The sequence below is a fragment of the Homo sapiens genome, chromosome 10 (assembly GCF_000001405.40).
Source record: "Homo sapiens chromosome 10, GRCh38.p14 Primary Assembly".
Taxonomy (NCBI): domain Eukaryota; kingdom Metazoa; phylum Chordata; class Mammalia; order Primates; family Hominidae; genus Homo; species Homo sapiens.
In genome coordinates, this window is record NC_000010.11 from 18,135,700 (window position 1) to 18,152,846 (window position 17,147).

At 41.9% G+C, this 17,147-nt stretch overlaps 1 protein-coding gene across 7 annotated transcripts in view, besides 1 other annotated feature; it reads left to right on the top strand.

Annotated features, from left to right (window-relative positions):
* Positions 224-1,190: an enhancer, noted in NCBI's record as "NANOG hESC enhancer chr10:18424852-18425818 (GRCh37/hg19 assembly coordinates)". NCBI's record gives its function as "activates a minimal SCP1, AML or CMV promoter by ChIP-STARR-seq in naive H9 embryonic stem cells {active_cell/tissue: H9 hESC(naive)}" and the evidence as "EXISTENCE:reporter gene assay evidence [ECO:0000049][PMID:30033119]".
* CACNB2 (calcium voltage-gated channel auxiliary subunit beta 2) overlaps positions 4,725-17,147 on the top strand; it is a 403,134-nt gene continuing 390,711 nt past the window's right edge. For 4 of the 7 annotated variants that reach the window (NM_201596.3, NM_201593.3, NM_201597.3 and 1 more), the window contains exons 1-2: positions 4,725-5,157; positions 15,184-15,276. In NM_201596.3, coding sequence (NP_963890.2) covers positions 5,038-5,157; positions 15,184-15,276 — 213 coding nt within the window. In that variant the 5' untranslated portion in view covers positions 4,725-5,037. Of the gene's footprint in view, positions 5,517-15,183; positions 15,277-17,147 lie in introns of all 7 variants that reach the window. The other 3 variants (NM_201571.4, NM_001167945.2, NM_201572.4) reach the window with 1 other exon arrangement.

The window sequence follows — 17,147 nt, forward strand, 5'->3', positions numbered from 1 at the left end:
TGCTTTTAAATAGCAGTCTGTAATTCAGGGCATAGGTTTACAAAAAGCAAACATGTAACTTCATGGAATGCATCATACCAAGTCAGGCCAGTGGCCAATACAGCTATATATCCTTATGAAAATGCTATTAATAGTGGTGGAAATTCAGGACTTTCAGTGAGGTGTAAAATGATTTACTGAGTAAAATGAGAAATCATACATGTGTATCTGTCCTAAAAAGCTCTTTCTTTAAGGTGTTAAATGTAGTCACAAATCTGCAAGCAGGAGAGGAAGAATAAAGCACTTGTAATCACTGTTTCTTCCACTTACAGAAAAAATAATCTTTTAAAACGTCTGGCTTCATTAGCCAGTGTCTCTTACCAGCCCCTGTTCCTATTTCAGAGCATTAGTAATTCCCAGAATATGTCTGTCCATTACAACAACTAATGAGCACAAGGAAGCTAACATACAGCTTGAATAAATTAGTCATCTGCATTTGAATGCGTCGATGGCACATCCATTATTGCTGGAGTCTCTTGCATCTGCTTAACTTTTAACATGAAAAGAATTAGGCTTTACTTACCAAATTTTTGCTTTCCTCTGTGGCTTTTAAATATTGCGCAAGTCAAAGAATCTTAAAAACAAGATCAACCGTGATTGAAGGCATCTATACATTTTCCAAGTCTTTTTATTCTGTTTATTCTGATTTTGCTCCCTTTTTCAGGAGTAACATTTTGTTACTCTGTGTTTGAAATCTTTTACAAGCCAGACAAGAGTCTGAATGGGTACATTGTATTGGATTAGTGTTCAATGCATGCTAATTAAACTAGTTTGAGTTATAAAGGAAGAAGTAGTATAATGTTCTCATGGGAGTCAGGCTTAGGTAAATGTTGTCATTGTACGTTAAAACTGGCAAAGTTGTATGCTGTGTTTTAAGACGCAAGAAGTCATTCAACATTCATGCATTCATTTAGACAACAAATGTTTTCACGTTCTAACTAAGTGGCAGACACCATGCTGGGTGGTGCTGGGGATACTAAGATGAAAAAGACGCCATCACTGCCCTCAAGGAACCCTATCTAGTGGTAGGGAGAAACATAAAAAAACAGGGAGTTCATATTATGAATTATATGAAATGAATATATTGTATTACATTTGAACATTTAATTCAAACTTTACTTGCCCTCTGGTTATAAGCGTTATTAAAATTATTTTCAAGGTTTTGATTTTTTTGCGGTCTCTTTAAACATCTGATGAAAGATGAAATTCTACTTCCCAAATGGTCCTAATTGAAAGCGAATGCACAAATAAGCATGCTATAAGAAACTGGACAGACATCATGAGAAAACACTCAGTTTCACCAAACCTGGTGTTTTTTTTTAAATAATGTTTCTTCTTTTGTTTTCTCCTTCCTTCCTTCCTTCCTTCCTTCCTTCCTTCCTTCCTTCCTTCCTCCCTCCCTCCCTCCCTTCTTTCCTTCATTTATTAATTGGCTTTTAAGTGCTAACTAGCAAGACTGTAAGCCCCATGGAGCTGGTAACCTGGTCTTTGTTGGCTGTGCTCATCAGGTGGCACAAAATAGAAGCTTGATTCATACTTTATTGGATGACTATTGAAAGAACTCAGAGGGCAACTTGCCAGATTCTGAATGTGTCCTAGAGAATAAGTGTGGTTCCTGTCCACACAGAGTTTACAGTCTGAAATGGATTTAATGTTTTCCCTAAGATTTAAACACATGCTCAAGAAAACTTCACAGTTTGATTAAATGAGTAGGCCTAAAACAGTGATATTATCAACAGAGCATGGGGCAAAAGTAGACTATAAGTCGAAAACTTTAAACACAATTTCTTTTCCATTTTCACACACACATACATACAGGCATACATATAAAAGCATGGCTGATTGTTGCTGTTCAAAATGTTCCCATTTTAGAAATTATTACAAACCAATATTTAAGTGCTGCTGTTTAACATTCAGCAAAATTTAAATAAAAGTGGCATTTTAATTTTTTTAATTTTATTTTTCCATAAGTTATTGGGGTACAGGTGGTATTCGGTTACATGAGTAAGTTCTTTAGTGGAGATTTGTGAGAACCTGGTACACCCATCAACCTAGCAGTATACCTTGCACCATATTTGTTGTCTTTTATCCCGTGCCCCCTCCCACACTTCCCCCCAAGTCACCAAAGTCCATTGTATCATTCTTATGCCTTTGCATCCTCATAGCTTAGCTCCCACATGTCAGTGAGAACATATGATGTTCGATTTTCCATTCCTGAGTTACTTCACTTAGAATAATAGTCTCTAATCTCATCCAGGTCATTGCAAATGCTGTTAATTTATTTCTTTTCATGGCTGAGTAGTATCCCATCATCATATATATCAGAGTTTCTTTATCACCTCGTTGATTGATGGGCATTTGGGTTGGTTCCACAATTTTGCTACTGTGAATTGTGCTGCTGTAAACATGCATGTGCAAGTATATTTTTTGAATCATGACTTCTTTTCCTCTGGGTAGATACCCAGTAGTGGCATTGCTACATCAAATGGTAGTTCTACTTTTAGTCCTTTAAGGAATCTCCACACTGTTTTCCATAGTGGCTGTACTAGTTTACATTCCCACCAGCAGTGCAGAAGTGTTCCCTGATCACTGCATCCATGCCAACATCTGTTTTTTGATTCTTTGATTATGGTCATTCTTACAGGGGTAAGGTGGTATCACTTTGTGGTTTTGAGTTGCATTTCCCTGATCATTATTGATGTTGAGCATTTTCTCATATGTTTGTTGGCCATTTGTATATCTTCTTTTGAGAATTTTCTATTTGTGTCCGTAGCCCATAAAAGTGGCATTTTTAATACCAAAGTTTAGGAAAATCAATGATGCTTTATGGCTAAATCTTTAACTGTATCAAGACCCATTCTTTAAGCCTGGCGCAAATCAGTGCTATGGTGGAGATGATAGGTTTAAAATGTCTATGCTTATCTTTGAGGAGAAAAGTACTGTATCTCATGTAATTTAATATATCATAGTAAACTATAGAAGGCAGTTGAAGCCTATTATAGTAAATTTTTGCATGTGTATTTCAATATACCAAACTTTCAGTTTGTTGTTACAAAATAACATATAAATAGGTTTCTGGAGCTGGATGGGCACGGTGGCTCACACCTGTAATCCCAGCACTTTGGGAGGCCAAGGTGGGCGGATCATGAGGTCAGGAGTTTGCGACCAGCCTGGCCAACATGGCGAAACCCTGTCTCTACTAAAAAATACAAAAATTAGGCTGGATGCAGTGGCTCAAATCTGTAATCCCAGCACTTTGGGAGGCAGAGGCGGGCAGATCACCTGAGGTCAGGAGTTCGAGACCAGCCTGGGCAACGTGGTGAAACCCCATCTCTACTAAAAATACAAAAAAATTAGCCGGCTGTGGTGGCGTGCACCTGTAATCCCAGCTACTCGGGAGGCTGAGGCAGGAGAATGGATTGAACCCAGGAGGCGAAGGTTGCAGTGAGCCAAGATCGTGCCACTGTATTCCTGCCTGGGTGACAAGAGTGAAATTCTGTCTCAAAAAAAAAAAAAAAAAAATGCCTGGAAAACTCATTACAGAAGTTTCCACTGTAGTAAAATTTGTTGAAATAAGTTGCACTCAATCATGTAAAAATGTGGCTCCTTGGGACTATCTGAACGGAATGTTGTAAGTGAAACACCCTCACCATAGTCACTATCCTGTTATCAAGAATTCTGGATCTTAAGGAAGTGCTTGTTTTGTCAAAAATGTGACACTAAGACTTTTCACCCCTATAGAAAAACCTCAACCCTGGCCTGGCGTGGTGTCCCACCCCTGTGATCCCAGCACTTTGGGAGGCCGAGGCCGGTGGATTACTTGAGGTCAGGAGTTCAAGACCAGCCCGGGCAACATGGTGAAACCCCGTCTGCACTAAAAACACAAAAATTATCTGGGCTTGGTGGCCTGTGGCTGTAATCCCAGCTATTCGTGAGGCTGAGGCTAGAGAATCGCTTGAACCCAGGAGGCGGAGGTTGCAGTGAGCTGAGATCGCGCCATTGCACTCCAGCCTGGGCGACAGAGTGAGACTCCGTCTAAAACAACAACAAGCAACAACAACAACAAACTTCAATTATGTTTGGAAAGAAGTGCTAATTTAATTTGGCAAAGATGAAGACAGCAGTCATAAAGCAAAACATTCGGTCTCAGGTTGGGTGGATTCCCACCTAGTTGACGAGGCCAGCTGCAGATTCAGGTGGGATCACCTGATGATCTTTATCAATGCCATTTCTTTCTCTGGATCCTTATTACTGACATTAGCAAGGGCTTTCAGCTGCCCAGAAGATGTTCTTTGCAGACATTTGCTCTCCCGGGCTGCCAGCAGGCTTTACAAATTTAAAACTTTCAGTGTAGGAACCCAGCCTCCGTCGTCCTTCCCCTCCAAAGTTAAGAGATCTGCTCTAAGGGTTCCTGAGGGGTGGTCTGGGGCCATGGGAACAGGATCAAGGCCCCCTGAGCGCCGGGCCTGGCTTCTGTGGCTTCGCAAACTTTTCAGCCTGTGTGCCACGGCGACGCGCAGCGGCTGAGTCGGAGCCCACGCGGCGCGCGCCTCCCGCGAGGAACTTTTCGGCTTGTAGGCTGCTTGTCACTCTCGCTTTCCGACGCGCCTCCCCCTGGCTCGCGCTCCCGGAGTTCCCTCCCCTCCTGGCGAGGACCTTTCCCGGCGCCCGCGGCTCCGATCCCCGCCGCGCTGCGCCCGCTCTCCCGGCCCCGGCTGCCCCGCTGAGGGCTCCCCTCTCCCAGGCACCGCAGCCGCGCCCCCGCGTCCCGCCTCCCGAGCGGCTCGCTTCGCCCGATGCCCCGGCCCCGTCCCGCGCACTGAGCGCCTGGCAGCAGGGCGCCGAGTCCCGGGGCGCTGCGGGGCGCTGCGCCGAGAACGGCCGGGCCTGAGCCCTGGGCGGCCCCCAGAGCCGATCAGAGCGCGGGGAGGCGGGGGCGAGGAGGAGGGGACCCGCCGCCGGGGGCTGGCTGCTTCGCTCCGAGCCGACTTTTCGCCAATGGTCCAAAGGGACATGTCCAAGTCGCCTCCCACAGCGGCGGCGGCGGTGGCGCAGGAGATCCAGATGGAACTGCTAGAGAACGTGGCTCCCGCGGGGGCGCTCGGAGCCGCCGCACAGGTAGCGAGAGCGCGGCGCCTTCTCCTTCCTTTGTGAGCCGCCGGGCAGGGCACCGACCTCGGGTTCTCCCGGCGCCTCCACTGCAGGGATCTCTAGCCTCGCACCTCCTCCCCTCGTCGCCTGCCCACCCTCTGCTCCTCTCCTGGCGCCGGGGACCCTGCCCCTTTGCGCCTTTTCCTGGCTCTGCCTCGGCTTCCATTTTTCTCTGCTTCCGAAAAGCCAGTGGGGAAGGGCGGGGGAGACCTGCCAGTCCTCCCAGACTTCTCCCGGGTTGCTCCAGCTGGCCCTCCTCGCCCCTTCCCGGGAGAGGCACATGGAGAGACATGAATCAGGGGAGTGGACTGGACCTGCTGAAGATCGTGAGTCCGGGTGGGCGGGAGGGGGCCCGCTTCCCGCAGCGCTTTCTACGATGCCGACTCTCCTGGCCACGCTCCGAGCCGGGGTGGGCGTGGGTGTGAGGATGATGGGGTGCAGGTGGGCAGGAGGGGAGCGAATATGGGGGTGCCCTGCCGGATCCCCCCAGAGCTGCCCGGACCACGCTGCGCACCTGGGGCTGACAGCTCTCCAGTCCCCTCGGGCACTTGCCAAGGTTTGCCTGTCCCACCTCATGCCTTTCCCTTAAGAAGCGAGTGAGCTGGGGACAAGAAAGTTTTTATTTTTCCGTCTCCCCTGAAATGTTAGCCATTTCAGGGATCTCCAGGATCCCCTTTCTCTCCGTTGAGTGTTTGCGGTTTCTGGAAAAAGTCAGCTTCGCTGCAGGTTGTTGTGAAATTGGAGATGTCAGTTGTAGGCGCTGGGCAATGACAAGGTGGTTTTTACGTTTTTACGTAAGGCTTCAGCAGGTACAGTTTGGGTTACAGACACCTCCAGGTCTCAGCGATGAGGAGTCGCTCAACTTTTCTCCCGGCAGGGAAATGACTTCAGACTCCTAGCTGCGGGCTGGCTGTTGGCTGGCCAGTGATGTGAAGAGGTCTTGGTTACATTTCAGGCAGCATTCTGGAGAAATGTCTGTTTGCTTAACTGTGTTGGCTTGTTGATTTCAAGCCTACATTTGCCAGATTTTAATTTGCGGTAAGATATATATGTGTGTGTATATATACTTATATATTAATACGTAGACACACATACACACACTAGAGAGCATGTTAGAGTATCATTTGCTGTAGTAGTGGGGGCAGGAGTGTGACAAGCTAATAAAGGTGGCAAATGTTTTCTTGCTGTTGTTTTGATAGGTGGAACATGAGTGCTCTAGATATTTTGATATTGTAATCATGGCAGTTCCAAGTGGCATAGTAGTCTAGCTTTATTGAACTTTCTTTTACCATTGGGAAATTAATGTGCTAACTTAAAACACATAATTCACTTTGACTTGAGAAGGGGAAGAATGTGGACACCAAGGACTTGTGTAATCAGAAATCTATTTCTTTTGTAGTGGTAAAACAGCTAGATTTTGGTCCACCCTGGGCTGTTTGCTTCACAAGCCGAGTAGGGACATGTAATGAACCAGCTACATTCCCATCTGGCCTCTGCCAGAGGATCTGAATTTTAACCAATAGAGTTTGCATTTGTTCTAGACTCCTGATTTTTATCTAGATGCTTGCCAGGTTAGACAGAATGAAAAATGTACCCGGAGACCTCGGTTATTCTAGGATGAAGGTCTTGAATACTATCAGTATTCGAGTCCTCCATCAAAGGAAAGGACATTTAGACCCTCATTTGCCTTTGATCTTCCTTGAGGGATATTTTAGAAAAGTTTTTATTCTTATGATAAAAATAGAGTTCCTAAATTCCTGGACATCAAAGTCAGGGCTCACATAACTGCATTCAGATAAGAGATACTAATTTACTTTGTGATTTATGTACAATGATTAAATGTAAGTCAAGTTATTGTACAGCAGCAATGTGGAAATGATTCTGATGTGAAAAGACACAATTTCTGCCTTCAAAGAATTTATATTCCAGTAGCAGCAATTAGGATATATGTATAGGGGCTGGAAGAGAAGTTCTGACTAGTAAATGGCTTCAAAGGAATAAGGATAATAAACACGCTATTTGGAGGAATCTGTAAGGACTTCATTGATGAGGTGGCATTTGCAAAGAGAATTGAAGGATGGGTCAGATTACACCAGATATTTTTGAGAGAGTTGGTAAGCAGTCGTACATGAAACAGAGTCCCAGAAGTAAGAAGTCTTACAGGATAATTTATCGTTTCTAGTTCAAAAAGAGCATGGTAAGGTCAAGATTGGACACAGGCGTAAAACTGACAAAGCAATTTGAGACTACATCTTGGGGACTTGGAATCTTTAGTGTATTGAGCGACAGGGAACTGTGGAAGGAGTTCAAAAGAGGACCCACATAGCAGCTCATTTGGGAATATTCACTTGGAAATGTTCTGTAAGATAGTTTCAAGTCTTAGGAGTCCAGAGGTGAAGCTGCCAGGCAGCAGACAGATGTAACAGTTTGGGCCGAGGTAATAAGGCCTAAGCGAAAAAGAGATGAAAAGATAATGGATATGACAGTTCTATGTATCAAACATTTCAAAGTTCAATTCACAGGAATTAGCAAGTGATTGCATAGATAAAGGAGAGAGAAGAGAAAGGGCAGAATGGATTTTAAAAGCAAGTTTAAGAGATATAAATATTCAACTGCATCAACATTCATCTCCTTGCTTTCTCTGCCTTCCAAAAATGAAAGCAATTTGACTTGAATTGCGTTCATCTCACACCCATTATTTGAGGGAAACATTACCTTGTTTATTTTATATCTGATAAATCATGGCATCATAGGATTGTGTGAGGCTTGGGAAAGCCATCTCTTCCATCTCTCTGTTTGGGCAGAACAGACCAGCAGTAAAAACTGCCTGAGAAAGGAGGCTGGCTCTAGAGCATCCTCCTTGTATGTGGCACCGAGTAATTCTACTCAGAATTATTGGGCAGTTCTACCTAGAAATGGAGTTTCTATTTACAAATGGAACCTCTAAAGCAATGATTGGTTTTAGGAATCATTCTACCTCACCTCTGGATTATAGTATTATATTTGTATGAAGAAAGCAGAAGATGTAGATTTGCAAACTCTGCCATTTTCCTTTTCTGTATCAATCATTCTGTCTAGAGAGAGGGAGCATCCTGATACATTCCGGTCCCTTTGCCCCAGTACATTGCCATAAACAAAATGATACATTTCTCAAAGCCCTGGTTTTTGTTTTGTTTTGTTTTTGTTTTTGTTCTGTTTTGTGTTTTGAAACGGAGTCTCACCCTGTCACCCAGGCTGGAGTGCAGTGGCATTATCTCAGCTCACTGCAACCTCCACCTCCTGGTTTCAAGCAATTTTCCTGCCTCAGCCTCCTCAGTAGCTAGGACTACAGGCGCCCGCCACCATGCTCAGCTAATTTTTTTGTATTTTTAGTAGAGACGAGGTTTCACCATGTTGGCTAGGCTTGTATCAAACTCCTGACCTCAGGTGATCTGCCCGCCTTGGCCTCCCAAAGTGCTGGGATTACAGGCGTGCGCCACCATGCCCAGCCCAAAATGGATACGTTTCTTACATGGGAAATGAATGGCAATCTAACTGCAAATTCTTGAAAGTCCCCATTTAAGAAAATTGCATTGCTTTTTAGGTAACCTGTTGAACAGTTTCAGCGTGAACCTGGACACAGTCTACTTCCAAAGTCCAGGTGCTCATGGAGGACCCTTTCTCCAAGCTCCAGATCTGTCTGTTCATTGTGGTAGCTGCTAGCCACCTGTGGCTTTTGAGCCCTTGAAATGTGGCTGGTCTGAACTGATATGTGCTGTAAATGTGAAATACACACCAGATATCAAAGGCTTAAGATGAAATAAAGAATATAACACATCTTCATTAGTAAATTTTAAATTGATGACATGTTGCAATGACCATGTTTTGGATATGCTGGGTTAAACAAATGCATTGTTACAATTAATTTCACCTGTTGCTGTTTACCTTTTTAATGTGGCTGCTGGAAAATTTCAGTGATATATTTGGCCATATGACATTTCTATTGGGCAACATTAAAGTATGAAACTGGTAATTCTCCAGGGAATTGAATAGCTCCTGCGTGAAGGTTGGGTGAACGGGAAGCAGGTGACAGGGATTGATAGGTAACAGAAGAGGAAACGGAGGAGTAACAAGAACAGTATCTCAGCACTCTAGGCCTCAGAGAGATTGTCAGTGGCACCTCCAGTCGCACCTGAAACTGAACAGACAGTAACCAGTGGGCCTGTTTGTTTTGCTCCTAGCAACAGGTCCCAGCTGGTCCCAGCCCAGCCGAGTCTGCCAGATGCTTTTCAAGCATGTTGTGGTAATACAGCCTGGTGATGGCAACATCCTGAATGGCTGTAGCAAGGAGCTTTATCCAAAAAGAGTAGCAGCTGTTTTCTAGTGGCTCTTCAACTACATCAACACTGTTTTCCTGAAATATTCTTAGGTCCCGTGTGCAAATGAGTTTTCTGCAGTCTCCAAAGTTGGTGGTTACAGGTCCTGTGCTTTATGTTTTGCTGAAATCTTCACTCTTAACCACCATCACTTTCCTCTTGAATGGTATTTTTTTTTTTCTAATGTGACATGGGAGAAATTTACAGACATGCCAATCAGAATTTCTGAGTATGTTTTAGAATTTGAAATATATCTGAGTGATTTGAGGTTTTGTTGTTCTTACAATATCATGCTCATTTTATTTTTCTCTCTCTTTTTATGTGAAGACTCAATTTACCTGTTGCTGTATTTAATTCCTTTGAATTATATAGCCTTGGCCCTTTCAAGAGAAGCTAAGCAAAATATGTTAACCTCATAGGGGATGGTGATACTCTACAATTTTGTGGCATGTCTCTATCCTACACGTAGTCTAGGTCAAACATAACATAACATGGTTATGTTACAAACTAATTGTAACAATGCATTATTTCACAACTGCAGACAGAGAAAACTACTTATGACATCACTTAAAGGAACCGGGCCTGTCTTACTGATCTTTCCAAGCCTGGCAGGAGGTAGACTGTGAAGAAGGCATGTGTTGTTCCTGGCTTTCTGCTCTCCCTGCCTGTGCTCCTCCTTACTGGGCAGATAGATCTCTGCTTCCTGGCCTCCTCCTTCCTCCCTCCTCCCTCCTGTACCTGCTAGACACCCACCCCCATCCCCAAGAACTCTATTTATGCAGGCTCCTTGTTCCTTTCTGCTTTTGTGTGAACTGAGCCATATTATAAAAGGCAACTTACTTCTCTCTTTTTTCTAGGAATGTCATTTAGCTACTTCTTGCCTAGTAAAGGATCTTACCCTTAGCTTATTCACACTAAGCTATTGGTAAATGAGGAGATTTGATACATGATTTCTCTCTGGATAGTTTTGGCTTTGTTTGTTTTAGGTCATAAGATGAGGAAAGTCTGGAAATTCAAAGGGATAAACATCAATGAATACGAACTGAGAGAGATGGAGACTAATTTTTTTTTTTTTTTTTTTTTGAGATGGTGTCTCACTCGGTAGCCCAGGTTGGAGTGCAGTGGTGCAATCTTGGCTCACTGTAACCTCCACCTTCCATGTTGAAGCAATTGTCCTGCCTCAGCCTCCTGAGTAGCTGGGACTACAGGCACATGCCACCACGGCCAGCTAATTTTTTTTTTTTGTTTTTCGAGACAGAATCTCGCTCTGTCACTCAGGCTGGAGTGCAGTGGCGTGATCTCGGCTCACTGCAACCTCCACCTCCTGGGTTCAGGCGATTCTCCTGCCTCATCCTCCTGAGTAGCTGGTATCACAGGTGTCCGCCACCACGCCTGGCGAATTTTTTTGTATTTTTAGTAGAGATGGGGTTTCACCATGTTGGTCACATTAGTCTTGAACTCCTGACCTCAAATGATCTGTTTCCCTCTGCCTCTACCTCCCAAAGTGCTGGGATGACAGGTGTGAGCCACTGTGCCCAGCCTAACTTTTGTATTTTTTAGTAGAAACAGGGTTTCGCCATGTTGGCCAGGCTAGTGTCAAACTCCTGACCTCAGGTGGTCCACCCACATTGCTTTCTCAAAGTGCTGGGATTACAAGCATGAGCCACCGTGCCCGGCCTAATTTTAAGTGTCAGTATTTTGCTCATGGGAAGTAATCTGTAGGTAGGAGAAGTGTCACAATAACCATAAAAGCACAGAAGCCACATCATTCTTCAGGTTGTCCCCAGGGGCTGCCAAGACAACTTTGAGTGCACGGCTAAAATCTCCAGTTAACTGACAACTTCTGTAATTAATTATTCCTGTCTCCTTCAATCATGCAGCAATTAGATTTTCATTACCTGTGAAAAGGTCAACATTTATTTGCTGATTTTTAAGACTGGAGTCCATTCTTAAGTTACTTCGTGTCAAGGAAGATGGATATTCATTCACACTAAGCTGATATTAACATCATGATGGATTTTGAATGTCTTTTTAATAAGTCATTAATATATTTTTGGAAATTTCTTAAGAATTTTTTTCCCTAGTTTCTGAAATCTTAGCTTGATGTTTTGGAACAACTAAAGGAATATAAATATAAGAGTTTTTTTTTTCTTTTTACTGTGGTGACATAATTTGTTTTAAGCTTCATATAGCTAATAGCAATTAGTGGAAATTAGTGACTTTTGGGACTCTTTCAAGAAGGACACAGAGACCTGCATGTGTCAGGGAGAATCTATAGGTAACACCTTGTACTACAGCCAAATCCCCTTTCCTGTCTCCCCTTTTCCTTATACAACCTGGGCTGCACTAATGATTAACTGTTTCAGATATTGGGCGTTCATATATTTTAATGCTGGTAAAAAATATTTAGAAAAACTGTTCACAAAAGTAGCTGCACTTGAAGTAGCAAATTAACTAAAACAATTACATATATTTTTTTTTTCAAATTTAGTCAGCTAAATATTTGAACACTTAATCTTCCCTGTCTTTTCCGTTTGGGAGAGGTTTGGCCTTCACTTTTTTCCCCCCTTAATTCCTTCAGAAGAAGTAGTCTAGTCCTTATTTTCAAGGATTTCAAGTAACTGAAAACCAAATCTTTCGAGCAAGATGGACTTAATTTTAAATACACATTAGATTAAAATAAATTTAATTTTGTAATAGCAGGATGAATTTTCACTAACATTTTTAAAGGTATATGAAAATGGACTATTAGCTTTCCAAAGATGCTTTAAATGTTTTTTTGTTTTCTGATCCTGACTGTTATTATAATAACAAAATAACTGGTCAGTAAGTAATCACTCTACAGTTTTTTAAAAAAAAAGAAACTTTAGAAGAGAAATTCCTGTGGAAATTAGTAAAATAACAGAATAGAGATATAATGAAGCATATATATTTATTTTGTCTTTTAATATGATATATGATAGGGATTTGCTCTAACACTCTTAAGGCATGAGCAAATGAATACTTTAAATAAATCATCCCTTATACACTTAAGTAATTGAAGAACAATTTTTTTTCTCAAAACTATCACCAGCATGCATGCAGTTCAGTGTGCTATAGTTGTTTGGTGTATAAACTATCTTAGTACAGTTGAAAACTGTAATAATTTCATTACATATACTTTGCATAGGTAGCTAAGTACGCCTGAAATAACATTTATGAACAGGATTCCCAGGGGTCTGGAAAAATTAATGTGAGTTTTTAAATGTGTTCAACTTCTTGCAGAGAACAGCCACCTCCTCTGTGACTGAATGTCTTCAACATTGTGTGGCTCTCACAGTGCCTGTTGTACAATTGTAAGCAACCACAAAAAAGCTTACACATTCAAGAAGTTGGATAATGAGACATATTTATCACTAAAATGCTAAAATTAAAGGACAATAGAATTGCGAAGATACTCTTTTCTGTTCATTTAAAAACGGTACTGGAGGCTGGACATGGTAGCTCACTCCTGTAGTCCCACCACTTTGGGAGGCTGGGGCGGGAGAATTGCTTAAAGTCATGAGTTCAAGACCAGCCTAGGCAACATAGTGAGACCCTGTCTCTACAAAAAACAAAAATTAGCCAAGCACGGCAATGTGTGCCTGTAGTTCCAGTTACTTGGGAGGCTGAGGTGGGAGGATTGCTTGAGCCCAGAGGGTGTGGGGTGTAGTCAAGGCTGCAGTGAGCCATGATCATATCACTGCACTCCAGCCTGGGTGACAGCACAAGACACTGTCTCAAAAAAAAAAAAAAAAATGGGATGAGATTATATTTTGTCTTTGTTCTCAAAGATAATTCATGTTCCTCATGAGGATAAACGGTGAATTTAACAAAGATTGTCGCTACACCCCCAAAGAAACAGGCCTTAAAAATACTTTCTAGGTAATAAGTATTTTTGCACATAGGTTAATATAAATTTAAAAGAAAATTTTAAAGAGATTTTCATACTTTATTTTAGCCTTCTTAGGCCTTAGAAAATGCATCTGTCCAAACCTTTACATAATAATTGGAAAAGAAAAAAAGTGGTTAAAAGAATGTTATTTTTCAACAGTTTACTGAATAATGTTTACACAAGTAAAAAGAATGAGCTGTTAACCGAGGACAACCTTGTATATTACATTATGAAAGACCAGCGTAGCTTTCTTGCCGTTTATGAAGTTGAGAGTTAATTAAATGTCATGGAAACACATTTGTATTATATAAATCCCTTAGATACTCTGAATAGAACAAACATATATAAGAAAATTTTTTGCTTTAAGATGATACCACCCTCTCACTGATAGCAAATTCGTCTAAATTACTCATAACGCAAATGTTTGTAATAGATTTCAGCTTGCCTAAGTGCTACATATATTATGGCAGATATTTTAATGAAAAGCATATGAATAGAGAAAGCATAACCAAATAGCATTTTGAGAACCTGAATGTGATGATTTTAAAAATAAATGTTGTAAATTTTGATAATCTAAGGAAGTCTCTATGAGCCTAATAATTGTCAACATGTTATACGCTTTAGTCCAGTTTGTTTCCACATCTTCCAACCCCTGTATAGGTATCACTTTTTATGTATTACTTTGAGTCCTTACCATGTGTTAGATCTTATGCTAAATGCTATAAATACATTATTTCGTTTCATACTTAATCCTATGAGGTATTATTTCATCTAATACTTAACCCCATTTTAAAGATGAAAAGATTGATGCTTGAAAAAGTTAAGAAATTTGGTGAAGATTTGCTATGTCCAGGATTCTAACCTGTGTGCTACATTTAACTCTAAACTCAACTGTTAAGCTATTGTTCATTTATATTTTAATGTTTAATATTTGCCCTTACTGCATCTATGCTTAGAATTAAACATAGATTGATGTGTAGTTTATTCTTAGGGTTCTGAATGTAAACATAATAGGAAAAGCAAGTTCATTTTTAGATGTTTCTGCTTGGCCCAATCCTATTATCGAAACAAATCATCTTACCTTTAACTTCCTGTTTTAAATGCTTATTTTTAAATGCTTTATCATTACAGGCTTTTGCCTCTTGCCTGCTAACACATTTATAAGACGACATCCATTGTTTTAATTCACTAGTTATTAAATGCTTTGCCAAGAAAACCCTCCTCAGCCGGGTGCAACGGCTCATGCCTGTAATCCTAACACTTTGGGAGGCCAAGGCGGGCGGATCACCTGAGGTTGGGAGTTCGAGACCACCCTGACCAACATGGAGAAACCCTGTCTCTACTGAAAATACAAAATTAGCCAGACGTGGTGGCACATGCTTGTAATCCCAGCTATGCGGGAGGCTGAGGCAGGAGAATCACTTGAACCTGGGAGGCGGAGGTTGCGGTGAGCCAAGATGGTGCCATTGCACTCCAGCCTGGCCAGCAAGAGCGAAACTCTGTCTCAAAAAAGAAAAGAAAAGAAAACTCTCCTCCCCACATCATCACTGATTGGAAATGGATTTGTAGAGTCCCACCAGTATTAACTTTCTAATGATGCTTACATGATGGCAATGTATTACTTGTTTTTGGTCTTTGACATTTTCTGCAACTAGGCCTACATTCCTGTTAAAGGGTCTCATAATAATCTTATTTGTCTTTTTTTTTTTTTTTTTTTTTTTTTAGTCATATGGAAAAGGAGCCAGAAGGAAAAACAGATTTAAAGGATCTGATGGAAGCACGTCATCTGATACTACCTCAAATAGTTTTGTTCGCCAGGTAAGAGTTTTAAGTTCATGGTTTTGATAAGTACCTTAAAATGACTTTAGATTTTTAAAGGTGGGTTTCACTCTTTTCCTTAAGATTTATGTAGTATGATTGTACTTACTTTTAATTGAAGTGAAGACGGTGCTGTTTAATGTCATAATTAAAATATTTTAATCTTAAGTGAGACTAAGTAATAATTACACTCTTTCCTGGCAAGTTGAGGAAAGAGAAGTGTGGCATTCATTACAGAGGATTTCTTTGAAACAGTGAGAGAACTCCAGCAGAAATGATTATGGATTTGGGGGGATTGTTTTTTTTTTTTTTCAGTGGGACAGAGAGCTGATGTGCATCTGTATCCCTACCTGTGAGATACTGGGGTTCTTCTAGTTGAGCTTTCTTCTTCTCACTTGGGCTTGCATTGAAAACTAGAAAATCATTCTTGGTCTTGAAATGGTTGAGGCTATCGAGGTTAAACAGAACATGCAGTATCACTGAGACATAATTTAAACCATTTCTGCCTTTGGAGACATAGCCTTCGTCTCATTTAATGTGTAGTATCTTCCTGCCAAGCAGCCTGGAACAGTCCCCTAAACAGACAGTGCCAGGCTCCCTAACATATAAACACGCTTATATATGGTAACAGAAAGGAATTCCATTACCAGAGGAAGAGCATAGAGGCAGCTGGACCTCTGAGGGTTGTGGTTATGTGTTGAGAATGAAGTCTCATCAGGAATGAGTGAGCTTGTTTCTTCCTCTAACCCCTCTCCATGGGGTGGAAAGTAGGGGCAGAGCATGCAGCAGAGAATCTGTTCTTGTGGCCCAGGGATGTCCAGTGTCTGATCAGTACTCTCATCATCTCTTGTCAATGACAGCTCACTCTACGGAACAGTGGTAGTCAACTGGAAAAGCTGCCTCGTGTCATTTGGATGCCACTTTCCCCAGTGCCGCTTGAGTCCATCATCATGGCCATAGATTCCACCCCTGCCCCCTGTTTGTGTGGCAGGACTGTTTCCTATAAATCCTATATGACCTTTTGGGTTTTATTTTTATTGGGGACAGTTACATTTCCCTAGCTGTCTACCCTTATTGGCTCCTTGTGGCACTCCCCAAGTGCCTCCCTCATGTTTCCTTCCCACAGTTAGCTGCAGTTGAACTTGAACTTGTCCACCTGCAGCATCGGTGGGGATTTTGATCTTGGCTGGTTGCTGCTTCTTTGCACTGTCCTTAGACGAAGGATGATCTGTCCCCAGCCATCAGTCCCCGCTTGCAACATTTGAGTATGCCAGTGGTACTTCCAAGTAACTTGGCAACTGGAAAAAAACTGGTCCTGGTCCGTGCCAATTGGGAATTGTTGTGGTTGCAGGAAGTGAGAAAAAGAGTTACTTAAGAAGGGGCAAAGCTTTTTTGGTTAGAAACATTTAGAAAGAAAAAAGATGAAGCCACGTGAGGCTCAACCCTAGAGCTATGTTCTAATGGTGTCAGCAGGAGCTAGGAAGGCTGTCAGAGGAGTGGAAGGTGTATGCGTTGGCCTCATGTTTTCGTGGGCAGAATCCAGGCATCATGGTCCTGCTGATGAAGGGAGGGCCTTGGGACATAGTGACTTGGGAGAGTCAGTTAAAGGAAAGTTACCCATCGCCTTTTCCATTTCAAGCTATTTATTCTGCCTCTGAGACAAAGAGATTGAACCTGGAGAGCTAGAGTTAGAATCTACAACTCTGAGTCATCATGCAGGACCTGAAACAGACCAAAAAAAAAAAAAAAAAAAAAAACAAAAAACAAAACACTAGCTCCTTAGTGTGCATAGTAGCTGCAGTAAAGCAACAAATAATGCCAAGCCGCTTGTTGAAATTGCACGGAAAGAAAAACTGATATGTTTCAAATAA